Genomic DNA, 25818 nt, shown 5'->3' with positions numbered 1-25818 from the left:
AAAATCCTGAGAATTGTCATTTAAGGACATGAGAGTGAGTAGGATCAAGAGGGATCAGATATTTAGGAATTTGTCCTAGACTGTAGGAAACTTTGGAATCACCACTTCTAATAAATTCTCATTAAGATTGCAGTGAATGTCCAGCTGATTGTTATTTTGGCCAACAGAGAGTATAAGGATTGTTTTTCAGATCTGATGGCATGGTATATAGCTGTTTGTAAATCTCAGTCTATCCTCGTGCTTTGCAAGCCAGCTTATTAGCAAGGGTCCTTAGTCACCGGAGAAGCTGACTGCCACTCAGGCCTCCTTCCCAGAGAATCTGAGTTATCAGTCAGACCTGAGGTGGGGACCAGGTGTCTGCATTTGAAGTACCCCTTGCATTTCTATCCCTGGTGATCTGCAAACCTCCACACTCTTTTTTTTTTTTTTTTTTTTTTTAAAGAGACAGCGTCTCACTCTGTTGCCCCGGCTGGAGTGCAGTGGTGAAATTTCGGCTCACTGCAACCTCTGCCTCCTGGGTTCAAGCGATTCTCCTGCCTCAGCCTCCCAAGTATTTGAGATTACAGGTGCACGCCACCACCTCTGGCTAGTTTTTGTATTTTTGGAAGAGATGGGGTTTCACCGTGTTGGCCAGGCTGGTCTCAAACTCGTGACCTCAAGTGATCCATCCACCTCAACCTCCCAAAGTGCTGGGATTACAGGTATGCACCACTGCGCCGAGCCTTGCAAACCACACTCTTATCAGCCTAGTGTGAATGAAACCCTCCTTGCCTTCAGAGAGCTTACAACCTAGTTGTGAACTTGAAGCCATTACAATAGAAGGGATAAGCCAATCCCAGATGCCTTGTACTTCTTAAAATACTGTGTGTGTGAGACATGTATGGCTTTTTATTCTGTTGACCTGGGAAATGTTTAAATAAATGGATAGACACTTCCTATGCATCCATTCCATGTCAAGCTGTCTGCTAAACACCAGAAATGCACACACCAACACAATCCAAATGGAGGCAGGAGGCAATATGGTTGGAAACAGATCATGCTGTACCTTGAAATGCAGCCAGAGCCTTTGAACTCCATTTAGAAAGAAATAGATAGCTTAGGTTTGAGACTTTAACCACAACATTTCTAAGGTCCATTCTTTAGAGTGGCATTGAGGGCCCTCTGTCACCTGTCACCCAGCCTCATCTTGAGCCTCTCCCTGCTCCTCACCAATAGTGAACTACTGGATGCCTTCTTGCCCTATTACCTCCACTTGGAATGACTTTCCCTCTTTCTGCACTTGACCCGTCATTACGTACCTCCTTACTCTTCCTGGAAGCCCCTCCTGACTTCCCAGGTTGGACTCAGCACTGCCCTGCACCCCGTGCCTACTCCTGTCTTAATACCTTCCTCATTTCATTGAGAATATGTGTGTGCATATATCTCCTCCGCTAGATGGTGAGCACCTCCTGGGCAGTGGTTTCTCTCTTCTTGCTTTTGTATACCCAGCCCAGTACCTGGCACGCAGCAGGTGTCCCATAAATCTCTGAAATGAGATTGATTGATGCCAACACTAAGTAGAAAGCAAATAGGAACTCATTCTCCAGGTTTCTTTTGGCTGAATTCTGCTAGAAAGGATTCTGAGCATGCTTTTAGCTAAAGAGTCCAGTGGGGGCTGGGTGCAGTGGCTCACGCCTGTAATCCCAGCACCTTGAGAGGCCAAGGCAGGCAGATCACCTGAGTTCAGGAGTTCGAAACCAGCCTGGCCAACGTGGTGAAACCCTGTCTCTACTAAAAATACTAAAATTAGCCAGGCGTGGTGGCGCACTGCAATCCCAGCTACTCGGGAGGCTGAAGCAGGAGAACCGCTTGAAACCTAGGAGGCGGAGGTTGCAGTGACCTGAGATGTGCCACTGCACTCCAGCCTGGGTGACAGAGTGAGACTCCGTCTCAAAACAACAACAACAAAAATGAGTCCAGTGGTGTTGAGGGTTAGCAACTGGACACCTGATGTTCCAGTCCCACGGAGGGATCCTGAAATTCCTGCACTACAGGTGCACGTACAGTAAGTGACCCATGGCTCTGTAGAGGAGAATAAGCTATGAGGAAGTGGACTCTGCCGGGTTGCTTGTTTCTAGCTGTAACATTTCCCTCCTAATTGGCATCGCTACTGAAATGATGTACGCTTGAATTTTTGCCAAGAGTGACTGTGTGCTAATAAGCTTTTCTCTCCAACAAAATGGTTTCTGTCCTTTGGTCACTTGTGGACAACCCTTGCTTTATGTGTAAGTGAATGAGAAGGAGGCAATGGGTCAGTCTGATGGGGCAGAAAACAACAAATAAAACCGTGGGTTGGTGTCCGTATTATGAAGACTTATGTCATCTGAGTGGAATGAGATTGAGATAAGTTCTTTGGAAATCATCTCAAGATATAAGAATAAAAAGTTCTTTCTTATGAACTATAAATTTCATTTTTATTCTTGATGTAGTTTGCTGCACTTCTTGCAGCTTTAGCTGTAAAGTAGAAAATGTCTATGCTTTGCTTCTGTTCTTAAAGCTCTTTAGCAATTCTGCCCTGAGGCAAAGAGGCAAAAACAATTTGTTTTACTCTCCCACATTCCAAAAATAACTTTAGTAATACACTCTTTGGTTATCTTAAAAGTGCAGAGTGGATACTTTTATCCCAAAGTAGCAGCGTCTGATTGGCGGGGGGACTTTTGCCGTGTGACTATTACTTAGCAACTAGATGCTGGTGACTCATTCACTTTGACTGTGGCACAGAAAAATTCTTTCCATGGAAAACACAGGCGGGGGGAAAATCTCTCTGAACCACTATGTAGTATTTTCCTTTAGAAAAGGCTTCTCTGAAAATGAATAGGCACCAGCTGTTACTCTGCCAACTTAGTCTCCAAAGCTGCCAGAGAGCCTTTCCAAATTCTGTTTCTGTGTGATTTATCCACCAAGGTATACAGGTAGGTTCAGAACTGTAATAAGAGACCAATTTGGTTAGTAAACTTAAATCTCAGAGTTTTAAACTGCCATCCCAAGTAAAAGAAAAATTGAGGCCGGGCGCGGTGGCTCACGCCTGTAATCCCAGCACTTTGGGAGGCCGAGGCGGGCGGATCACGAGGTCAGGAGATCGAGACCATCCTGGCTAACAAGGTGAAACCCCGTCTCTACTAAAAATACAAAAAATTAGCCGGGCGTGGTAGCGGGCGCCTGTAGTCCCAGCTACTCGGGAGGCTGAGGCAGGAGAATGGCGTGAACCCGGGAGGCGGAGCTTGCAGTGAGCCGAGATCGCGCCACTGCACTCCAGCCTGGGCGACAGAGCAAGACTCCGTCTCAAAAAAAAAAAAAAAAAAAAAGAAAAATTGAGCTAATGGCATTTACGATATCTGGAACACTTACATATGATCGGGTTTGCTCTAGAAACCAATGGTGTTTTACTGTCACATTATAGTAGCAAGGAAGGGGTGAGGAGGAATGGGGGCTGGTGTGGGGGAAGGAAAGAGAAAGAAAGCTGCTTCCTTAGCTTTGGGCTGAATAACATGAGAGCTTTGGAGACAGGTGCTTAAGTGAGATGCCCATGTACCTAAGCAGCAAAAATATAATAAAATAGATTCACCTGCTAGGCTCACAACACAGCCTAATTTCAGCTCTCTGCAGTTAATTTTGCTTGTCAGCATCTCCTTAAAGGCTCTGAGGGTGATTAGGAGTGGGAAAGTAGACAAGTGCAGTTTTAGCCATGAAAATTGGGGAACGTGAAGGGCTTGTTTCCTGGATGCTCTTGAACTCTGCCATCCCTCTGGACTGGAAGTCGAGCTGCTCTCGTGCTTGGCTCATATTTATGAATGGAGGTTAGAGAAGTCGCTTAAACGCTCTTCAGTGCTTACACTCCAGCTGGCTGCTGACTTAGGAAAAACATGACCTTATGGGGCTGCCATGGGTGCGGGGAGTGGTGTGGGCGAAGTATGTTGTCATAGAAAAGACAACCCAGGGGCTGGAGGGGACTTAGCTCTTACTTACAGCCTGAGACACCCAAGCTATTAATAGTAAAGCCCTGAGTCACAGATGTAGGAATGTCACAGCTGCCTGAGCTGTGCTACTGTTACACATCAGAAAACCAGCAATGAAGACCTGCCCAAGATGAATGTGAAGAAATGGGCATTTTTCCCGCTTCTCCCCAGACCCACCAAATGTAGTTTATTTCAGCCATACACACCCTCTGAGTCAAAGAGGAGGCAGGTTGATTGACTTCATTCCTTTCGGTTCCCCTGGCTCTCTTAGACTCAACATGTTACAATATTTGCAGTAAATACCGTCTAATACTGGCTGTGCATTCTGGTTCTGAAAGATGTGTTAGCCATCTGCTGCTCTCCCTGCCTTGTGATGTCTGTCTTTTTGTCTCTTGCTCATCCCATTTCTCACACATGGTGGATGTATATGGCATGCGGTCGGGACCCGGTAAGCTGGATTTGGGAGACAGAGGCTGGAGTCAGGTGGGTGTTGGCTTTGTGAACCAGAAGTCCTCAGCTCACAGGACAGCAGGACAGGTCACAGGACAGCCCGTGACCCTGTGGGTCAGAAATCAAAAGCCTCCTGAGGAGTTGCTGCTGTGGGGTCAGGCTTAGGCTGATCCTGGTGGTGGACCGAACTAGATGAGGCTGTTTGTCCCTTAATTGTGACTGGAGTTCCTCCCTGGTATATGCACATCCAAGGGGCTTGTCTAAAAACTCCGATGAAACAGAGGGAGAAGGGGGAAGTCAAAATCCCCCCTACATGGATAAATCAGATTTTAACTTTGATCCTGAATTGGATCCTGGATAAGGAATAGAATCCTGAAAGATCCTCTTCCCCGGCTGTCTCTCAGTCTCTACCTTCCCCCAGCCCCATTCAGGTAAATTATAGCGGGGAGCAGCCGTGCAAACCAAATGTCATTATTCATTTTTCATAAGAAAGTGAACTTGAAATTGCCATTAGCATCATTATTCTGTTTTTGTTTTACATTAAGGCCAATTTTATTTATCCAGTTTGCCTGAAAGAAGCCGTAGTAAAAATTGAAAGCGACTGTAACAGGGAGCCAATAAGCTAACCATTGACTAGTTTTACTTATTGGAACCGTCTCTAGCTGGTGCTCGGTCCTCCTCTTCCTGGCAATCATTTATCAGACTGTGGGAGGGGGCCAGCGTTCGGGAGCTTTTCATAGCCCGTCCTCGGTGCGAGGAATACAAGGTGGTGTCAGTGACCAGAGATTAGGACAGTAGAATTTTGCATTTGTTACAGCAGCAGCTGTAGCGAGTGGTTTCAGCCGCAGGGCAGAGTCCCCGAGCTGGGCGCGGCTGCAGCTCGGCGGGCGGGCGGAGAAGAGCGCGGGGGCGATAGCGGGGCGGGCATGGGAGCGGGGCCCGCCGAGGCGGGGCGGGACTCGAGACCACAGCCCCGGACCTCACAAGCGGATGCCGGGGCTTCTCCTGGCTGCCCCAGCGCCCGCGGATCTGTCTGCCGAGGCGCGCTTCCACTCCCAGAGTTTATTCCTCGTTCCTTCTTCAGTCCTGCTCGTCGGAGGACCCGGTTGCCATGGTGAAGGAAAAAGGTAATTATAAATATCGATCACTGTGCATGGTTGCAGAAGTTGGAATGGCACCGCAGGGCTCGGCCACCTAACGGGGAATGATCAATCGAAAGCCGGGCGGACATGTTCTCGGTGTGAGAAGCTCCGTATTGTGAAGTCTGGGTTTCCATCGAACCCAGACTTCGTTCAGAATCTTTAATTTCACCACCGCATCGGGAGCACATCCTGTTTTCTGGAGCACAGCTGAGCTCTGGGGTGTATGTCTCTTTTGATTGCTATTGCATTTTGAATTTTTTGTTGTGTTTGAGACTCGCCGTCTTGCCCCCCATCCCAGCCATCATTCTCTTCCTCTCTTACCACCACGCCCCACCAATCAATAAGTTAATTAAGATGTGTCATGAAAGGGCCCTTCCTGCCACGGCTGGGCTGTGTGGTGCTGGGACATGCCCAGGCCTCGCTAGATCCGGCTGAAAGGAGAAGCTGGGTTGTTTTAAAGGCTTCAGGTGCTCTGCGTGTATAACCTGTCATTTCACTATTATCCCTAATCACTCCTCCAAACACCTTCTTAAAGGATGCTGCACATGGCTAAGGAAACCACATCATATCACAAGGAGAGTGTTAAAAGGGAGAGGACAGGTGTGGCCTGAACAGGTGTACATCATTTATGCACTAGGCGTGGTCCTGAAATGGAAGGTACATTTTTCAGAATTGAATGATAGTTGAAATGATTTGTTTCTCCGGGAAATGTGAAAGAACACCACAGTGCTTGTTTTGAGTGATTCAAGTAATATATAAACACACCTTGTCTTAAGAAAGTAAAATGTTGCAGGAGGATAGGGAGGGAAAGTGAAAGCCCCTCACTCCTGCCTTGTCAGCTTCAATTCCCCTCTCCTCTCTAGAGATAAAATTGTTAACAGTTACTGTGTATCTTGCTAGACCCTTCTAGACCAGAATTAGAGACAGACACATATGAATATAAAAATTGAATCATTCTATGATCATTTTTCTGTAACTTATTTTTTTCTCTTTTATTATGTCTTAGGGACCTTCACCAAATGATTTTATAATGTAAATAACCACTCTTTAATTTTGCTGTCTAGTACACTTAGATTTATTGTCACATTTTCTTACCGTGGGGACATTCTTTCCTCCCCAAACACGGACATCTACTCTTTCAGGGCGTTCTTGAACCATTTCAATGACTTACCTGTGTTTACTTTATCTTAAAGCTACTATAGGGAATAGATTTAAGATGAAAATGCTGAACTCAAGATGATCCTTGTTGCTTGAAACTCAGTTTGATTCTATTATATTAATGAATGGATTGACATACAGGATCCTGAGAGCTTAACAGTGTAAAGGCTGCACCTCAGGACAAAAGAGAAACATGATTCTGCTCTATTCACTCTGCTCCTATAGATCTTTAGTAATCACATGCTGTAGCTTTGGTTTTTCAGTGGGTAAATGGTAATTGAGTGAAATGATTCGGTGTGAATAAAGGTGCTTCTAATAATATTTCCACTCTTTTGGGGGTGCTTCCAGGAACCCTCAGTACCAAACACAGATGTTGACATTTACTGCAGTTCAGATCTCTTCATTTGTAGCTCCCACCCAACTATGACATGGCACTCCTCTCTGTTGCTAATGGATTTGAGTTTGTTTCCCTGATATGAGTAATTTATGAGTGATGGGAAAGGGAATTACAAAGCCATTTCTTCATTCCATTCTTGCGGGACTCTTGGAAGACCTAGCCTTGCTATATATGGTATATATTATAGATCAGTAGTCCTCACATAGCAGCTCTTTTTCTAAGTCTTGGAGACTTCCCAAAGCTTAGATTGCCTGGGTTCACATTGCTCTACAAGTCACTGGCCACCTTCTAACTGGAACACTTTGGACAGGCCACCAAGAGGTCACATACTAGTATTATCTTAACCCTTAGACACTGATTAAAGGCTGTTCTGTTTTATTTTGAGGTCTGTGCCAGTCCACACCACTGCTTTCTGATTGCACTGACCTCAGCCATCAACAGAGAAAGGCAGGTTTGTTTCGTTTCGTTTCATTTTTGTTTGTTTGTTTGTTTGTTTTTGGTAGGTACACAAGGGTTTCCATAGGAAAAAGGGAACTTCTTCATAGCCCTTAAAGTGAGAAGGGCACTGGGGATCGTTTAGTCCAGGCATTCATCCTAGAGATGAGAAAACTGGGGATCAGAAAGGGTAAGTAGGTTGCTGAAGGTCACACAGCAGATTGTGGACAAAGTACTCATTCTCTGTGTCTCGTCACACCATGTAGTGGATGAGAGACCACAATTGCCAGTGTGTTGACAGCTGCTATCTCTGTCACAAGATGGTGAGCCTTTCAGAAGTGGCACTGTGTCTCCATCTTTAACTTTCCAGTGCATAGGTTAGTGTTTCCCCCACTGTAGATCTTCAAACAACCAAAACAGGTTGGCCCGTTGTCAGAGCAGGAACAGGAACCTGTGCCTTCTTGATTCAGAAACTTCTCCAATCCTCTCCATTTATTCTTGTTCTCAGAAAAGCCTAGCTCCTTCCTTCCCTGTGGAGCTGTCAGGAATCAACTCGAGGAGGCTCGGGTCCTGGCAATGTCCATCCCGAGGAACATGGCCGGCCCAAGGAGGAGTGGCATAGACTCCCTGTTGTGCTTGCCACTTAGAGCTCACACTGGCTTGCCTCATAGTTTTCTCTCTAGGATAAAATACCTGGTTCGGGGCTGACATGGGCAGGAGAGAAAGCACGCTGGCTGGTTGCCTCCACTAGTGTGGAGTGGCATTTGCTGACATCCTTTGACCTTATTATCTTTTGTTCTCCTGACCAGGCACCCATTCACTTCCAGCTGCAGACACTTATTGATTCCGGAATCTTGATGAAATGGTTATTTCTCTTATGTCTTCAAGGGTACCTTACCCTTGCTGTATCCTGTAACAAAGAAGCACAGGAGATTTCTGCAGGTTAATCTGTCAATAACTGCCTTCCTAAATACACGCTCGTCAACCTATACTCCAGAGGCCCACTATACTCATTTAAAAAGCTGTAATGTCTAGCTAATGGGTGTTATAGTGCAAGTTTTAAGAATACAAAAGGGATTTATTATTTATTTTTGTTACAGAAAATAAAAATAAGCAAATATTAGAGATTAAGCTCTATAAACACTCATTTTAAGTAATAAAGAATGCTTATGGTTTGGGAACCATGTGAAAAGACTAAGAATTTAGTCACAAGACAAACTTCAAGGTAAATAGAATTTTACGTTTAGGCACATCATTTTTTGTTTGTGTTGTTTGGTTTCCTGGAAGTTTTCTGACATTGTTGGATGGCCCAACTTGCTTTTGGGATAGAGCGGGACCCAGTGAAACTCATTCCAGTGTCTAAGTGGAAGGATGTTCACCTTCCACCTGACATTCATGTGTGTAGGGACGCACACATACACATACCCACAAGGCAAGTACTTTTTCTAGAGCAAGGTTTTTCAACCTCAGCATTACTGATATTTTGAGAGATAATTCTTCGTGATTCTGTCTTGTGCATTGTATGATGTTGAGCAGCAATCCTGACCTCTACATACCAGCAGCACTGACTTCTTACTCATGACAATCAAATATGTCTCCAGACATTAGCAAATGCCCTTTGGCGAGCAGGATTGCTCCAGTTTGAGAACTACAGCTGTAGAGAGCAGTGGGGTGCTAAGACACCTTGGTCACAGTTCTCTTTAAGGTTTAGATCAATGGATTCCCTTGAGCACAGAGGGTGACAGATGTGAACAATTTGTCTTTTTTTTTTTTTGAAACAGAGTTTCACTCTTGTTGCCCAGGCTGGCATGCAATGGCCCTGTCTCAGCTCACTGCAACCTCTGCCTCCCAGGTTCAAGTGATTCTCCTGCCTCAGCCTCCTGAGTGGCTGGGATTACAGGCATGCACCACCACGCCCGGCTAATTTTGTATTTTTATTAGAGATGGGGTTTCACCATGTTGGCCAGGCTGGTCTCGAACTGCTGACATCAGGTGATCCACCCGCCTCGGCCTCCCAAAGTGCTGGGATTACAGGCAAGAGCCACCGTTCCCAGGCTAAGATGTGAACAATTTGTATGGAAAGTCAATCAGACCACCACAGCTCCTCCTTGATGCCATTTAGCTTTTGGCAGAAACAGATGCTTCAAATAATAAAGCTACAGAAGGACTAATAAAGGCCTTCCTCCTTATTTATGGGCCTTATTTCCCAGCTCATTTCAGTTGTTGAAAATGGAAGAATCCTCTTCATCAAAGTAGATATGTCTACAGAGATGTTCTAGCTTAGTTCTTTCTTTTCCTTTAGGATTCTGTAAGCCCCATTTTGGTCAGGAAACTTCCCTATTCCGTTATCATCTCCTGCTTGCCCTTTCTGTGTTAGGCAAAGTGCTGGGTACTCAGAAAGCTCTCAAGGGTTTAGAAGATACAACAGCTGCCCTTTGCTTCTTTACCACCTGTCGAGGAAGTAAATAAGCTCACAAATAACTAATATTATGTAGATGTTTAAAGAGGCATTGGTACAGTGCTCTGGCAGGTCAAAGGTGGGAGACTTAGCTTCCAAGTATGCCGATCAGGAAAGACTCCCTGAAGCAGGCAGCTCTTAAACTGAGGCTTTAAAGATTGGGGATATGTGGACATATAATAAATTGAAATGAAAAGAGAATGGTAGATTTGAGAGAAGCCACCATATTAAAATTGATGGGACCTGACAACAGGTTGGGTGATTGTAATGAGAAGGATTCAGAACAAATGATCTTAAAGTTTTGAGTCCAAGTAGCTCAGGTATCAGTTTGCTAGTGGCACTGCAACAAAGTACCACAGACTGAGCGGCTTAAACCACAGAAATGTATTGTCTCACTGTTCTGGAAGCTACAAGCCTGAGGTCAAGGTGTTGGCTGAGATGGTTCCTTCTGAGGGCTGTCAGGAGAATCTGTCCTATGCTTCTCCCTGGCTTCTGGAGGTTTGCTGGTAATCTTTGGTGTTCCTTGGCTTATAGAAGCAACTGCCTTCATGTTCACAGGGCATTCTCCCTGTGTGCCTATCTGACTCCATGTTTCCCCTTTTTAAAAGGACACCAGTCCCAGTGGATTAAGGCCCACCCTAATGATCTCATTTTAACTTGGTCACCACTGTAAAGACCCTATCTCCAAATAGGGCCACATTCTGAGATACTGGGGGTTCGGACTTCAATAGATGAGTTTGGAGGGTGATGCAGTCCAACCCATTACACGCAGGCATCAGTGTTAGATGTGGCTAGGCTTGGGAAGGAGAACTGAAGAGGAGCAGAGTGGAATCGGATGTGGATGGGAGAGAGTTTCTAGTGGTGAAGAGGAAGGGAGGAGGTCGGTGGGAGGAAGGAGATGAGCTCAGTTTTATAGACCTTAAGCCAGTGTTGGGGATAAAGGACTGGGGAGTGATCAGAAGTGAGTAGTCCAGTTCATACCTCTTAGGCAGACTCTGAGATTTCTTGGCCGATTTGTACAAACTTGCTACAATCTACCTTAAGGAAGATAACATTAGAAACAGGCCTTGCTTTCCCTTTGGAATAACAGGAGGCATTCAGATGTTAGGCATCAACAGGGAAGCCAACACCACACCTTTCTGCCTCAAGCTGCTGGGTCCAGCACCCTTTATGGTTTGATAGTAGCCCCTTCCTGCCACATCCAAAAGCCACTGCAGCCTTGTTCTTGGCAGCTCCTGAGGACAGTGATGTACTATGTCTCAAATGTGACCTACACCCTGGCACCAAAGTAATCCTTTTAGAACACTGAATCATTTCCCAGCTCAAAAACCCAAATAAATGACAAGGTAAGGTTCAAAGCTTCCTGCTTGTCATGCGGGGTTCTCCTCAAGTCCTTAAAATACCTCCTCCCTGCTTACTTCTAAAAAAATGTTCTTCTAAGCCAATCTTATTTTATTTTCATTTTAATGTTATTATTAAATCTGTCAGTGATTGAACACATACTAAATGGCAGAGCTTCATATACAATGTCTTTAATCTTCGAACCCATCAAGGTAAGTAGTATCTTCCCCCTAATAGGTGAGGGAAAGGAGACTCACAGGAGGTCAGAGATCACTTAGCTAGCATGTAGAAAAGCTAAATTTTCTATCCATTTTTCTGCCTATCTGGCTCCAAAACCAGTGCTAATGTCCACCCTGAGCCCTTTTACCTTTTGAATGACCACAGGGGTGGTATTTTCTGCTCTAACCTCAGTCATACTGTCTACCTGCCTTGTGAGACATACTGTACCCCCCCCTTTTATGTATTTATCAAAGATCTAACTCAAGTTTGGCTTCCTTATAGAGCTCCTTGAAGGCGCATCCCTTCTGCGAATTCTTCTAGAATTACTCTGTGCACCTAAGTAAACACCAGATAAACAACAGTTGTTACCTGTGCAACTTAGGACAGTGCTCTTTTTCTCAAGTATTGGACTTCATATGCAGTCTTGTAAAACAACCTTAGGAGCTGTGAAGTGTTGCTGCCTCTAATGCTGTCTGTCTTCCCAAAACACACACCCACACAGACACCACCCACTCAGATGCATGCACGCTGCCTGGTGTAGTCAATACCCACTTCTATTCCATCCTCAGGAAAGGCTAAGAACAGTAGGTTTTTCACTGTGGTGTAATAATTCCTCATGTGTGCGATGACTATTGAGTCACTATCCAGGCATCTTCTTTCACATATGCTAGCCACTCCTAGCCACGGGTTGAAGTTTAATGCCTCACCCCTACCTGCCCTTGGATTTGTCTTAACTTCAAAAGCCCCAGTCTTTTAAAGGGGACACCACCAACAAGGTCATTTCCTAAGTAAGGTCTAAAGGGAAGTGATAGATTAAAGGAGACACTACAAGGCTACAAGTTTCAAAATAAATTGTTCTTGATCAGTGACATTCACACTACTCAACTGTGAATTTCCCATCTTTGTGGGGAGGGGTGCTCCAGTTTTTGTCATCATATTCTGCTTGAGAGAAAGCAACCCAAGTGTGAATTGCTTGTACTATTTTATAAATGAAAGTGTTACTCTTACCAGGAAGTGTGGCTCTGCTTCACTCCAGAAGTACTGTCTGAATAATGGGATTTCCAAAGCTAAAGGAAAGGATTTCACATGTTTAAAAAAAAAAAAAATCTTAACAAATCTCCTGCCCTCTAACACCAACTAATTGATGTCTAAAAAATGTTTATCCAGAGAGAAAAAGATGTCATTTCTACGATATAAATAAATATGAGAGAAGGAATACATTGACTTGAATGTGTTCAAGGCTCTTGAGGGCAATTTTTGATGACAGGAATGAAGTCAAGAATATGTAGACAGTGGGCATCTGAAATGGAGGTTGGGCCTCATCTACTGTTAGCTACTGTCAGACTTTGGAGGTGGTATTGCTTCTTGCCTTTCCCATGCCAGGCCAAATGACCAGGAAGGATGAACAACTTGTGTTGCATCACAGAGAGTTTCTTTTAAAGAACGACAAATTGACTTTTCCAAATTCCTGCAGAAGATGTACTGCAAGAGACTCACCCCACCAAGAAGCATATCTTGGCATTTGATTCATTTTGAGGAGGTGGCCCTCTTTGCCATCGCATTCACAGCCCTAGGGGTCAAGAAAGAGGATCCTGGTATTGTTGGCTTCTCCTATGCCAAAGTCAAAGTGCTGAGTGTTTTCCTGAGCCAGCATTAAAGAGCCAGAGAACTTTTCAGAAGGTTCAGTGATCAGTGAGTGGTGCAGGATTTCTTCCCATTGTGGTTGAGTTTGATCTGGGTGCACCACAGTAAAAACCAGCCCAGCTTCCTATTTCATTGTGTGTTTGTCTGATGGTGACTCATACCGAGAGGTATGTTTATCCCAAACTGGCAGGAGCTGTGTATTCAAGGGCAAATTTTGTTAACAGTGGGGAGAGCGAAAATTTGTTATGCATGACCTCTTTTCTCTGAAACATTGTATTTGTGCTCAGACTGACATAATTAATGTTATTATGGTCCAGTGTCCCCTGGGGGTGGAACAGGGGTGAGTTTGTGTGTCCCTGTTGCAATCAAACAGGCTGGCTTGTTTGAATACTTGCATTTAACTATGAAGATCCTGGCTTTTTTAATACTTCTAAGGAAATTACTGTCTAGGACAGTGCTTCTCAAATTTCAACTGGGATCAGAATCATCTGGAAGGCTTGTGAAAACACAGATTTCTGGGCCCTGCCCTCAGAGTTTCTGATTCAGTAGGTCTGGGAGAAGGCCTGAGATTTTGCATTTCTAACACTTCCCAGATAATGTTGATGTTCTTGATTCAGGGACCACATTTTGACACTGTGCAGGTAATCTGTCGTTTCTGTGGGTAAAATGACCAGCCCTACAGGTGGGTAAGTCAAAATTTTTATAGAAGTAGCTTCTTCATTCCCTTTTGCAAATATCATCTGGCTCACCATGCACAGATGGCAAAAAGAAGGTAAAGAACATCACTGTCACTCTGGCTCTCCAGCAGGATGAAACAAAGCCATGTTTCATAATGAAGCAGACCTGTGAGATCCCAGTGGCCAAGAAACTGCTGTCAGTATATGATACTGGGAGCAAAGGTTGGCAGGAAGTTTAAGTTACTTTTTCATGGGGGCGAGTTGGGGCTCAGCGTGACTTGGAGAAGGCAACATTAATTCAGAATGAAGGCACAGGTGTGCATATTCTGCAGGCATCACTCCTATGTTTCCAAGACTTAGATGAGCATGTTTACCTGGAATCATAGAGCTATTTGGAATTTTTGGGTAAAAGTTCATTAACAATACAAAAATTAGCCAGGCATGGTGATGCATGCCTGTAGTCTCAGCTACTCAGGAAGCTGAGGTGGGAGGATGGCTTGAGCCTAGGAGGCAGAGGTTGCAGTGAGCTGAGATCGCCATGCACTCCAGCCTGAGCAATAGAGCCAGACCTTGTCTCAGAAAACAAACGAAAAAAAGGGAAAAGAGTTAATCAGCTATCTTGGCTCACAAAGGCTACCACTCCCTCTTTAATCTTTGAGGAATTGAAATATGTTGTTTAGGCTTGGAGTGTTTCATTTACTACCACTGTACAATATTTACTGTTCATTTGGTGGAAGTAGATCATCATAAAGGCCTTTATCCTCCTTGTCTTTATGCTGAGCAGGTGAGGAGAAGGAAGAAGAGGAGGGTTTGGTCTTGCTGTCTCAGGGGTGGCAGAGGTAGAAGAAAATCTGTGTGCAAGGGGATCTGTGCAGTTCAAACCCGTGTTGTTCAAGAGTCAACTGCATTCTGTCTATGTTCTAGTAGTCTGTATTTTTTCTTCTGTTTATTTCTGTTGTTCTCTATTTGAAACATGAGAAGGGAAAAGTTTAAGAAGAATTAAGAAAAGTGGGTCAGGCACAGTGGCTTATACCTATAATACCAGCAATTTGGGAGGCTAAAGCAGGCAGATCACTTGAGCTCGGAAGTGTGAGACCCTGTCTCTCCAAAAAACAAAATTCCCCCCATCCCCCGACAAAAATTTAGCCATGCATGGTGGTGTGTGCCTGTAGTCCCAGCTACTTAAGAGGCTGCAGTGGTGGGAGGATCATCTGAGCCTGGAGGTCGAGGATGCGATGAGCCATGAACGTGCCATTGCACTCCAGCCCGGGCAATAGAGTGAGACCCTGTCTCAAAAAAAAAAAAAAAAAGAAAAAGAAAAGTGGATGATAGGAAAAGGTGGCAAGGTTGTTCCTCATTGGAGTATCTGATGGGGAATGGGAGAGAAGGCTGAGTACTCCCTTCCTGGAAAAATGATAGGGGCTATGGGTGCCTGGGTCCATGGACCATCTCATAGTGACACATGAGCTAGGTGGGTGTCTACTGGACTGCTGCCATGTGCCACTTGAGGGACACCTTCTGAATGGCCATCAAGGAGCAGTTTTAGGACTGATGGGGATTGGAGTCCGCAGGACGAGAGCCCAGTTATGCTGAGCACTAAAGAAGGATTGGATGCCCCTCTGTCCCTGCTTACCTGGAAAATGCTACCACTTCTGGCATGTGTAGAGGTCCTAGCCTAAAACTCAGAAATAGCAATGAGCCATAGCGAAGGGCTTCTAGTAGCGGCCTGATCACATTACAATTTTCTTGAGGTCTCTTATCTGTGAGGCACTTCGAGAATAACTCGACACACTGGAAAGATCCTACATTTAGTGGATGAATGGGTTAGCAGGTGTTGAGAGGGATGCTGATGGAGAATGCAAAATGGAGGGGACACCAGGTGATAGAATGGGGGTGAACAATCTTCTATGGGGGTTCTAAGGAAGGAAGAGCTATAGTCCCAAGGGAATCAGAAAAGGCTTTATGGAAAAGGGGGCATTTAAGATTGGTATTTGAGGAGTTCTGTAGGTTTCTTAATGTTGGGGATGGTGTTTGATTCAACCTATATTCATTACACAGTGTCTGCTCCATAGTAAGCACTCAGTGAATGTTGAATGAACTAATAAGTGAATGAATGAGGTGTATGGGTCGGGGAGATGGTTATTCTTATTTGGGAAATTTTTTTTAGACTCTAATATGAGATAAGCCATCTAGATATAGCAACACATAAAATGCAGTTCTTGACCTGAAAGCACTCACTTTCTAGCAAGAAACAGACACACATAGATAAGTCATTATGATACAATGTGAAATGTACTCAAAGGGGAACTATGAAAGTAATATGGGACTGCAGGACAGAAAGTGATGAATGCTATTGGATGGTCATGGAAGATTGGGCTTTGAAGGATGAACAGGAATGCAATAGTGGATAAAAAGAGGATGGCGAGAAAGGGACTCAAGTGGGTAAAACAGAAGCAATAAAGTATGCCTCCTGTCTGAGGAGATGCAAGCAGCTCAGTTTAGCATTTTGGCCACATCATACAGCAATGGACATAAGGAGAGGTAAGTAGGGGGGTTTTGTGGGTCACATTGAGCTAAGGATGATTAGAACTGGGGTCAGACGTATGGATGCCCCGAGAATCAGGCAGGTGACCTGAGTGGAGCCTGGGGCAAACTACAGAGCATGGCCCTCCCTAAAGGGAAGAGTTACTTTGTCCTTCATCCTAGGTTCCACGGAGGGATGCAGGTCAAGTTGCCAGGCCTTGCAGTTTTCAAGAGCAGCTGGAAATAGGGATTTTTATGTAAAATCTCCAGATGTTTAAATATTGGCAAATGATTTCACTTTCTCTTTAAAAAATATTGTGTGTGGCCAGGCACAGTGGCTCATGCCTGTAATTCCAACACTTTGGGAGGCTGAGGTGGGCGGATCACTTGAGGTCAGGAGTTCAAGACCAGCCTGGGCAACATGGTGAAACCCCGTCTCTACTAAAAATACAAAAAAATTAGCTGGGCCTGATGGTGCATAACTGTAATTCCAGCTACTCGGGAGGCTGAGGCAGAAGAATCGCTTGAACCCAGGAGGTGGAGGTTGCAGTGAGCCAAGATCACGCCACTGCACTCCAGCCTGGGCGATAGAGTGAGACTTCTTCTGAAGAAAAAAAAATATTGTGTGGGCCAAACAAAACATGTCTGTGGGTAGGACTCAGTCAAAGGGCCTCTCGATTATGGTTTGGAGTTTAATGACCTGTCCACCATGCCTACCCCAGGAAGAAACACACTTTTACACAGCAAGACCCAGGATTCATATACACATGCATATAAATGGCTGAAATAAAACTCACATGAAGCAATACTTACCTTTACTCTCTGCTAGTTTCTTTTCTACTTTTTAAGTATGCCGGTGATGATCCATTAAACTTATTTTATGTTCCAGTGGTTCAAGACCCAAAGTTTGAAAAGCATTGGCTTAGACCCTCTACACTAACTAATTAAACTTTTATTGATGAAACAGAATAAGGTACTTCTGTGGGCAACCATGTTTCCATTCTGAGTACTCCTGTTATTGTGATAATAGGTATGTTTGGGTTACGTTGGGTTTCTTCACTTGCAACGGGACAGGTTTTGACAAAAGAATGTCTGAATCTTTCATTTGCCACTTTATCCTTAACAGAAGTTGGCCGGAATTTGGTGTCATCTGTCTTGGGTGCTTGATACAATTAAGAACTAACCCAACTGTTAAATTCAGAGTAAAATACTGTTTGAATTCCAGCTGGAAGTCCAAAGAAAACACTCGTAGAGCCCATGTCAGCTTTCAAGCCTGGTATTTCTGGAATTGCTTTTTCAGTTGGGATCACTTTTCCCTATGAGTCTGCCTCTCCTCTTTGTGTTCACCACGCTTACCTTGTTTCCTTGCTTTTGTATCACAGCCAGGGAGGGAGGAGCAAGATCAGGACCAGGACTATCTGCCATGCATCGTCCCATCCCTCAGTGACCAGCTGTTCATCTACATTGTCGAGCATTACATGCTGGATAGCATTCATTTTTGATGTGTAAGAGCTTTTCCAGAAAAAAAATATCATTTCAGCCAGGCACAGTGGCTCACGCCTGTAATCCTAGCACTTTGGGAGGCCAAGGCAGGTGAATTGTTTGAGGTCAGGAGTTCGAGACCAGCCTGGGCAACATAGTGAAACCTCGTCTCTACTAAAAATAAAAAAATTAGCCAGGCATGGTGGTGCATGCCTGTAATCCCAGCTGCTCGGGAGGCTGAGGCAGGAGAATTGCTTGAACCTGGGAGGTGGACGTTGCAGTGAGCTAAGATCGTGCCACTGCGCTCCAGCCTGGGTGACAGAGCAAGACACTGTCTCAAAAAAAAAAAGAAAAGAAAGAAAGAGAAAGAAAAAAAAAAGAAAAAATATAATTTAAGGGCTTTGGAGAGAGTTCACCCCTCCCTCAGGAATGTCCAAAAGGTGAGTTGTCAGCAGGCCTTCCATGCAGCAGGAAAGGTTTAACCATTCCTTGGGTGCAGGGCATGTCTGTCATCACCCCTATCTTGACTTGAAAGCACCCTTGCAATATACAACAGGATTCAAAAAGCACTTGGACTTTTGCAACAAGAGCCCAGGAGTGGCTTCTTGCCATTGGAGAGAGTTGATATGATGGAGACACCCCCAGGGAAAGGCCATCCCTGCCATGAAAACCACACGACCACAGTGAGGCAACACTAATATGGTAGTTTTGCATAATAAGTAGGCAAAGATGCCAACTACTAAACATGAATCAGGCAAGCAAGGCCAGCCAGAGAGTCGGCAGTCAACACAGTACTTTCAGGTTGGGGGCTAGCGTGGTGCAAGATGACCAGGAGCAGCATTGGAGACGAGATTGGAAGGCACCTTGTTGACAGGGCCTGTGCCTTGCCTCTCCAGGGCACTGTTCTCATCTGAGTTGGGGGCAGCACCCTCTGGAGTTGTGCAGCCACAGCCTGCACATCTTTACCCAGGGGCAGTGTGCTTCCAGGGAGCTGGTGCTGCAGTTGGTAGTGGGCAAATCACGTCTCTACCACTTCCTGGAGGACATAGAGCCAAGCTCCTAACCTGTCTCAGAGTCAGGGTTTTTTTCAGTTAAAACAATACTGAGAACACCCAATTTTCTCTCCACATCAGGAGGTTTGATAAGTTATCTGGTGAGTTTGAGCATTGGAAAAAATTATTAGTAGATCACAACAAAATAGGTAGAAAACATGATGGATTATTCATCAGGAGCTAGGCAAGTGGGAGAAAGGGAAACGATTAAATCTAAGAGAACAAAAACCATTGTACAAGAAAGGGAATCTATTCCTAGGAGGCACTACAGAGTCTAGTAGAACAATAATTACATTCGCAAAGTGTAAAACAGTGACCATGGGTTTAACCAAAATTTGTGGTGTAGGCCTATTGGTAAGAGCCGAATCTTCACCTGCAGAAACAGGATGTCAGTAGCTAATGACTGAGTTGATATAAGCATAGTGTTAAGAAAAAACACCAAAAGTTGAGCACATTTGCCTATAGGGGTTGGGAGGAGTGGGGCAGGCAATTACCATCATGCATTATAAGCATATTTGTTTCTTTGGGTTTTTTAAACTTTTTCTTTCTTATAGAGACAGGGTCTTGCTATGTCGCCCAAGCTGGTCTCAAACTCCTGAGCTCAAGCGATCCTACTGCCTTGTACTCCCAAAAGCTGGGATTACACATGTGAGCCACCGCCCACACTTAGCCTAAACTTTGATAAAAAATAAATAAATATGGGGTAAAAAACCCATACTTCCCACTCCATATCTTTATTGTTAGGGTTAATTTAAGTGAAATAGTGTGCGAAAATTTCAAATGTGGCCTGTGCCATGTGCTCAATAAATGTTAATGAAAGTCAGTTGGTCTGTGGAGTTTCTTTAAGCATCAGAGTAGAAGCACAGCCCAGAGCCAAAGGAATGGCCCGAGGTCCCTTGCAGATAAAACAGGACTAAGAAGTAGGTGGTGAGAAGCTGGGCACAGTGGCTCATGCCTGTAATCCCAGCACTTTGGGAGGGCGAGGCGGGTGGATTACCTGAGATCAAGAGTTTGAGACCAGCCTGGCCAATGTGGCGAAACCCCATCTCTACTAAAAATACAAAAAAAAAAATTAGCCAAACGTGTTGGCACGCACCTGTAATCCCAGCTACTCGGGAGGCTGAGGCAGGAGAATCGCTTGAACACAGGAGGCAGAGGTTGCAGTGAGCCAAGATCGCGCCATTGCACTCCAGCCTGGGCAACAAGAGCAAAACTCCATCTCAAAAAAAAAAAAAAAAAAAAAAGTAGGTAGTGAGAAGAATTAAATTTGTAACCAGAAAGAGAGACAGTGTTCAACTGCCTTCGGCCAGGATTTTTCAGAGGCTGAACGCCCTTCACTATAGTATATATCCTTCTCTTTCTCACTTGCCCCTTGTGGTACAGCTGTCCTTCAGTTGCCTTGGTGGCTTTGTAAAATTATTCCCTAAAGCTTCAGGATTTCATAGGTTTGCCTAAAAAGTAAGTCGTGTTTATAAATGAGAGCTCTGCAACCAGTCTTCATGGGTTTGAATCCAGCTTGCCTGTTTACTAATTGTGCCACCTTGGGCAAGTCCCTTAACCTCCTGTTGCCTCAGTTTCCTCATCAGAAAATAAGGACAATAATAGTACCAATTAATAGGGTAATTTTGAAAATTGAATCAATTAATCCACATAAAGCATTTAAAACAACGCCTGGTCACCCATTGCCTCCTGGCACGTAGCTCAGTAATTGCTATTCCTTCTGTTACTACTGTCATTCCTTTCGACTGAGTAAAATCAGGACAATGTGTCCAATGAGATGGAGTTTAGTAACAGATTAGTTTGAGGATCCTGGAAAGTAAGTAGAGCTGAGATAGCTGAGTCAAGGAACCCAGGAGGGTCCACTCCTTTCCACTGGACAGTGTCTTCCAGCTTGCCTAAGTAGAACAACGCTTTGTCACCTTTGTCATGCCACAGTACTCCAGGACCACATCAGTGGCTTCCTGTGGCCAGTAAGCTCTACTGTTCAGTGATAGAAATTCACCAAGGAACTGGACCTGTTGGATTTTCAGTGCCCAGATCCTTTGGGCAAGCAAGCTAATGAGACTGCTCTTTTTGTTGTGGAATGAAATGAGGTGGCTAATGATGCTTTGATGCGGGAACATGATGGCATCATATGAACAGTTGTAAAGTGTTTGAGGCTGGAAGCCATGTGTGCTCAGGACACCCACTGGAGGAAGCTGCCCACCTGCTCTGCAGCAGTCCCTGCTGGCTGTTGGCTATAGGTATGGTTGGGAGGAGTGGGGCAGGCAATTACCATCATGCATTATAAGCATATTTGTTTCTTTGAGTTTTTTAAACTTTTTTTTTCTTATAGAGACAGGGTCTTGCTATGTCTCCCAAGCTGGTCTCAAACTCCTGAGCTCAAGTGATCCTACTGCCTTGTACTCCCAAAATGCTGGGATTACACGTGTGAGCCACCGCCCACACTTAGCCTAAACTTTGATAAAAAATAAATAAATATGAGTAGAACACTACTCATCATGTCCTGTTCTGGGGACATGCCACTTAGCTTTTCCAAGGCTCTGGGGCCACCCAAACTCCTCCCTGCAAGTCAGGTCAGCTGGAAATTGTGCTTTGTTGTGTGGTTCTCATTCAGAGAGCTTAGCCAGGGTTGGTTTGAGACTGGTCCATCAGCTCCTTCCTTCAGCTGTTTTTTTTTTTTTTCTGAGTCAGAGACTTAAATGAGTCTTTTATTTTTTGTCATCGGTTGAGTGGTATTGACATCATTCAAATTACCTAACTGATAGTAGACACTGTTGGTGAACCCAAGGTATTTTTCTGACTTTCAGTTTCACCCAAAGACTGTTGCTCTGGAAAAGAGACAGAAAGCCAGGCTGGTATTCAAAACATGAACATATTGAACATGCATTTATAGAGTGCTGGCTTTGTGCATACAATGGTGCCAGACCCTGGTAATACAATGGCAGTTACCTTGTAATGGAGAAGATGGAAAAGAAAAAAGAAATAGAATGTTTAGACTGTGGTAAATATAAAGAGAGGAAACTGAGATGGGGGTCGGAGGGAGACTGCCTTTAACAAGGTAGTTCAGGGAGAAGTCTCAGAGGAGGTGACCTAGAAGCTTGAGGGTGTGACCAGAAGGAGGAGAGGGAGCTGGGCTCGCAAACAGCTGGGGAAGAGCCTTCTGGGCAGGGAAAAGCATGCCTGGAGATCTTGAAGCAGCAAGAGCCAGAGCTTGGGAGGATGTGGAAAGAGTGTGAGAAGAGGCTGGAAGAGGTGGTGGGGCCAGAGCGCATCTTCCATAGGGCAGTGAAAGAAGGATTAGTGGAGTAATCTGTTTATATTATGCACTTAAAAGATCATTCTGGTTGTTGCATGGCAAAGGGATTTAACAAATGAGTTGACAGTCCACACTATTTGAAGATACACACTTGTGTTTTTCTTTCTTTCTTTCTTTCTTTTTTTTTTTTTGAGACAGAGTTTTGCTCTTATTGCCCAGACTGGAGTGCAATGGCATGATCACGGCTCACTGCAATCTCTGCCCCCCAGGTTCAAGCGATTCTCCTGCTTCAGCCTCTCAAGTAGCTGGGATTACAGGTGCGCACCACCACACCTGGCTAATTTTGTATTTTTAGTAGAGATGGGGTTTCTCCATGTTGGTCAGACTGGTCTCGTCCCAACCTCGGGTGATCCACCCGCCTTGGCCTCCCAAAGTGCTGGGATTACAGACGTGAGCCACCACGCCCAGCCCACACTTGTGTTTTTCATAGCTGTGCCCTGAACCCCTCCTAGCACCTTACTTTAGTGAGGGATCAATTACTCATAGGGATATCCTAATGTTTCTAATTTTCCGGCAAATCTCTGGTGCTGACACTGGTGTTGACATTCCTCTAGGCAAGTTGTGTTTGTGAAAACTCCCTTGTGAGTGGGGCATTGATCTGATGGCATCTCGTTCAGATTTTTTTATATCTGTCTTGTTATGGGCTCTTTCCTAAAAAGGTAGCAGAGATGTAATGATATTGAGGACATTTGCTGGGGTGGGGATGTGTTGGTGAAAAACATGTCTAATACTTTAGTGGGGAGGATGGCATGCATTAATAAGGTGTAGGAGGTGCAATCTCAGCCCACTGCAACCTCTGCCTCCCGGGTTCAAGCGATTCTCCTGTCTCAGCCTCCCCAGTAGCTGGGATTACTGGTGTGTGCCATCACACCTGGCTAATTTTTGTATTTTTAGTAGAGACTGGGTTTCGCCATGTTGGCCAGGTTGTCCTGGAACTCCTGACCTCAGGTGATCCACCTGCCTCAGCCTCCCAACGTGCTGGGAGTACAGGTGTAAGCCACCGCACCCGGCCTACTTTCCAAGTGTTGGAAGGTTACATTTAGGAGTTCCATGGAGGGATTTAAAAATTTTTTCTTCCTCTCCCTTCTCCTCCCAGTCCCATGTTGGATTTTAACATGTTTTTTCTTTTCAAGCCATAGTCTTCACTAAGTGCTTTGTTAAACTTTGGGAGATAATCTTTTCTTCTCCACTCAAGCAGAGGCCATTCTGAAGGTAAATAAGAGAATGATCAACCACCAGGGTTATGCTCCCTTGTCACCGGGATGAATAGAAGAATACCTAGCAAGGTGACAGATTATATGTGTTTGCATTTTCTTGCAGAGGTTACACCCAGCAAAATTAGGTCATAAGAGAGCTTGAAGGAGCCTGAAGTTCAGGTCTGGGAGGAGTCAGGAGCCTAGGTGTTTAGAGAGTAGTTCTAGAATGTGTAGCATTCTAGAATGTTTGACATTGCAAGTTGGATGCTGTGAACACAGGTCTCATGCTTTCATCTCCCAGTGGGTGTGCAGACACTGGAGAGACCCAGGTGAGGGCAGGTTTGTGTCTTTATTCACAGTGCAAGAGCAAGAGTGCCTTTTCAGAAAGGGTTCACATTCTTGTTTCTGAAATTTATAAGCACTTGAATGAAAAGCTTCACTCTGCAGTTTGGAATCAGTATAACCTTTGGCACAATGGTGTGCCGGTAAATGTTTAACAACCAGCTCTCCAGAGGGCAGGAAGAGGAAGGCCCTGATCTGTAAAGTTTGCCAGTTTCCATGGTATAAATGCTTCCACTGCAGCCAATTTCAAGCTACCAAGGTGGAGTCAACCATACAGTTGGGAAGGGCTGGGCATAGCCGGCTCTCCCAAGCAGGTTAGAGCTCCCCACTGCAGGGGTGAATCCCTTAAAATTTTATTTTCTTCTCCCCAGAAACCCCCTCAAGATTTTCGAAGTACAATTTCTGTATCTGCAGAATCAGTATAATTGGGGTTGATGGGATCACAGGAGTTATTATCTTTGAATACCTTTTATAAATTGTGAAGTGCCACACATGTATTAGCTTTTTTCATTAGTTTGTTTGAAATGCTGTTTTTAAGTACTTAATGATTCTGAGTATGTCCTGGAAGTAGAAGCAGCCAGAAAGAAAAGGCAAGGACAGCTGGGAGACTTCCTGTGCTGGAGACAGACAGATTTGTGCCACAAAGAGACACCTCAATCAATATCTTAGTTCTTTGGTTTTTGGTTTTTGTTTTTCAAATTCCTCTGAGGTGTCTGGAATTGGAATTAGAGAGTAGAAGGTAATGGTGGTACCGTGCTTAAGCTAAACCCTGTCTCAAGACCCTAGGCCATGTGACAATAGACTCTGACCCTCTCTCTTAACTTGTATTTCTGTAAATGGCTCAGATGGGACCACAATCCCTCCTACTCTCAGAGTCAGGATGGATGTGGCTCTCTTGTTGTCCATAAAGATGTGATGTTCTGCCGGCAGAGTTTAGACTGAAGCCAATGCCCATTTGTTAGACTGGATTCATTTCTAAGTAGAATTGCTGGTGCAGGGATAGTTTGAGATCCCTGGGTGACCTTAAAAGGTTCAATCAAATTTCAGAAGGGATTTTTGTAATGCTTCAGAAATTCCTGCTCATACAGGTTAGTGACAGTCTTTCCTGACATTCAGCTGACATGGGCATCTGTGTGCCAGGCTGAGGCTGTGGGGGCTCTGTCTTAGTCCATTTTGTGTTGCTAGAACAGAATATCACAGATTGGATAATTTATAAAGAAACAGAATTTATTTCTTATGGTTCCTGAGGCTGGGAAATCCAAGGTCAAGACATTTGTATCTGGTAAGGGCTTTCTTGTTGCATTATCCCATGGTGGAGGCAGAAGAGCAAACTAGGGTGTGAGAGCGAGGATAGGGGCTGAACTTCATTCTTTTATCAGCAACCTGCTCCTGTGATAATTCACTCACTCCTGCTGTGATGGCATTAATCCATTCATGAGGGCAGAGCCTTTGTGACTGAATCACCTCTTAAAGGTCCCCCTCTTAACGTTTACAATGGCAATGAAATTTCAGCATGATTTTGGAGGGGACATTGAAACCATAGAAGGCTCCTAGGAGGATATGGCCTCACATTGTCTCCGCTACCACCCTAGAAGGTCGGGCATGTATTCTTGGCCCCTTTTACAGTCTCAGGGAGGTTGAGGCATGTGTCAGGAAAGGCAGGACTGGGAATCCAGTCCCCTAATCTGAGGTCCCTTCTAATTACAATTAGAGAGAAGAGGTGGGAGTTGTATACAAATGGTTGAACATGGTCAGAGAAAGGCTAGGAGAGGTCAAAGAAGGGTGTCATTTCAGTGAGTCATCTCAGTCAAAGAGTGTGTCAAAGGAGTCATGCTTTTAGGAGGAGGAGGAAAAGGCACCAAGCCAATTTTAAAATCCCTTTCTGAGCTTAACCTTCACATAGAGAAGGCAGGTGCAGCACATCAGGGCAAGTGCGCCAAGTGATTTATAAGGAGGAAATTTCCTGGCTGAATTATGATAATCCTAGT

At 44.7% G+C, this 25818-nt stretch overlaps 1 protein-coding gene across 40 annotated transcripts in view, besides 1 other annotated feature; it reads left to right on the top strand.

Annotated features, from left to right (window-relative positions):
• Positions 1-25818, top strand: part of ABLIM1 (actin binding LIM protein 1) — a 370264-nt gene that overhangs the window by 163900 nt on the left and 180546 nt on the right. For 7 of the 40 annotated variants that reach the window (NM_001352441.1, XM_017016256.2, NM_001352440.1 and 4 more), the window contains 1 exon segment: positions 5077-5572. The exons of 29 other annotated variants lie outside the window; for them this stretch is intronic. In NM_001352441.1, the coding sequence (NP_001339370.1) occupies positions 5557-5572 (16 nt within the window). In that variant the 5' untranslated portion in view covers positions 5077-5556. 40 annotated transcript variants of the gene reach the window in all.
• Positions 2570-2864: an enhancer, noted in NCBI's record as "tiled region #11198; K562 Activating DNase unmatched - State 3:PromF". NCBI's record gives its function as "activates a minimal TATA promoter and a strong SV40 promoter by Sharpr-MPRA in K562 cells {active_cell/tissue: K562}" and the evidence as "EXISTENCE:reporter gene assay evidence [ECO:0000049][PMID:27701403]".

This window comes from Homo sapiens, chromosome 10 (assembly GCF_000001405.40).
Source record: "Homo sapiens chromosome 10, GRCh38.p14 Primary Assembly".
NCBI lineage: Eukaryota > Metazoa > Chordata > Mammalia > Primates > Hominidae > Homo > Homo sapiens.
Note: the sequence above shows the minus strand (reverse complement) of the source record. Positions and strands in the feature narration are given on the sequence as shown.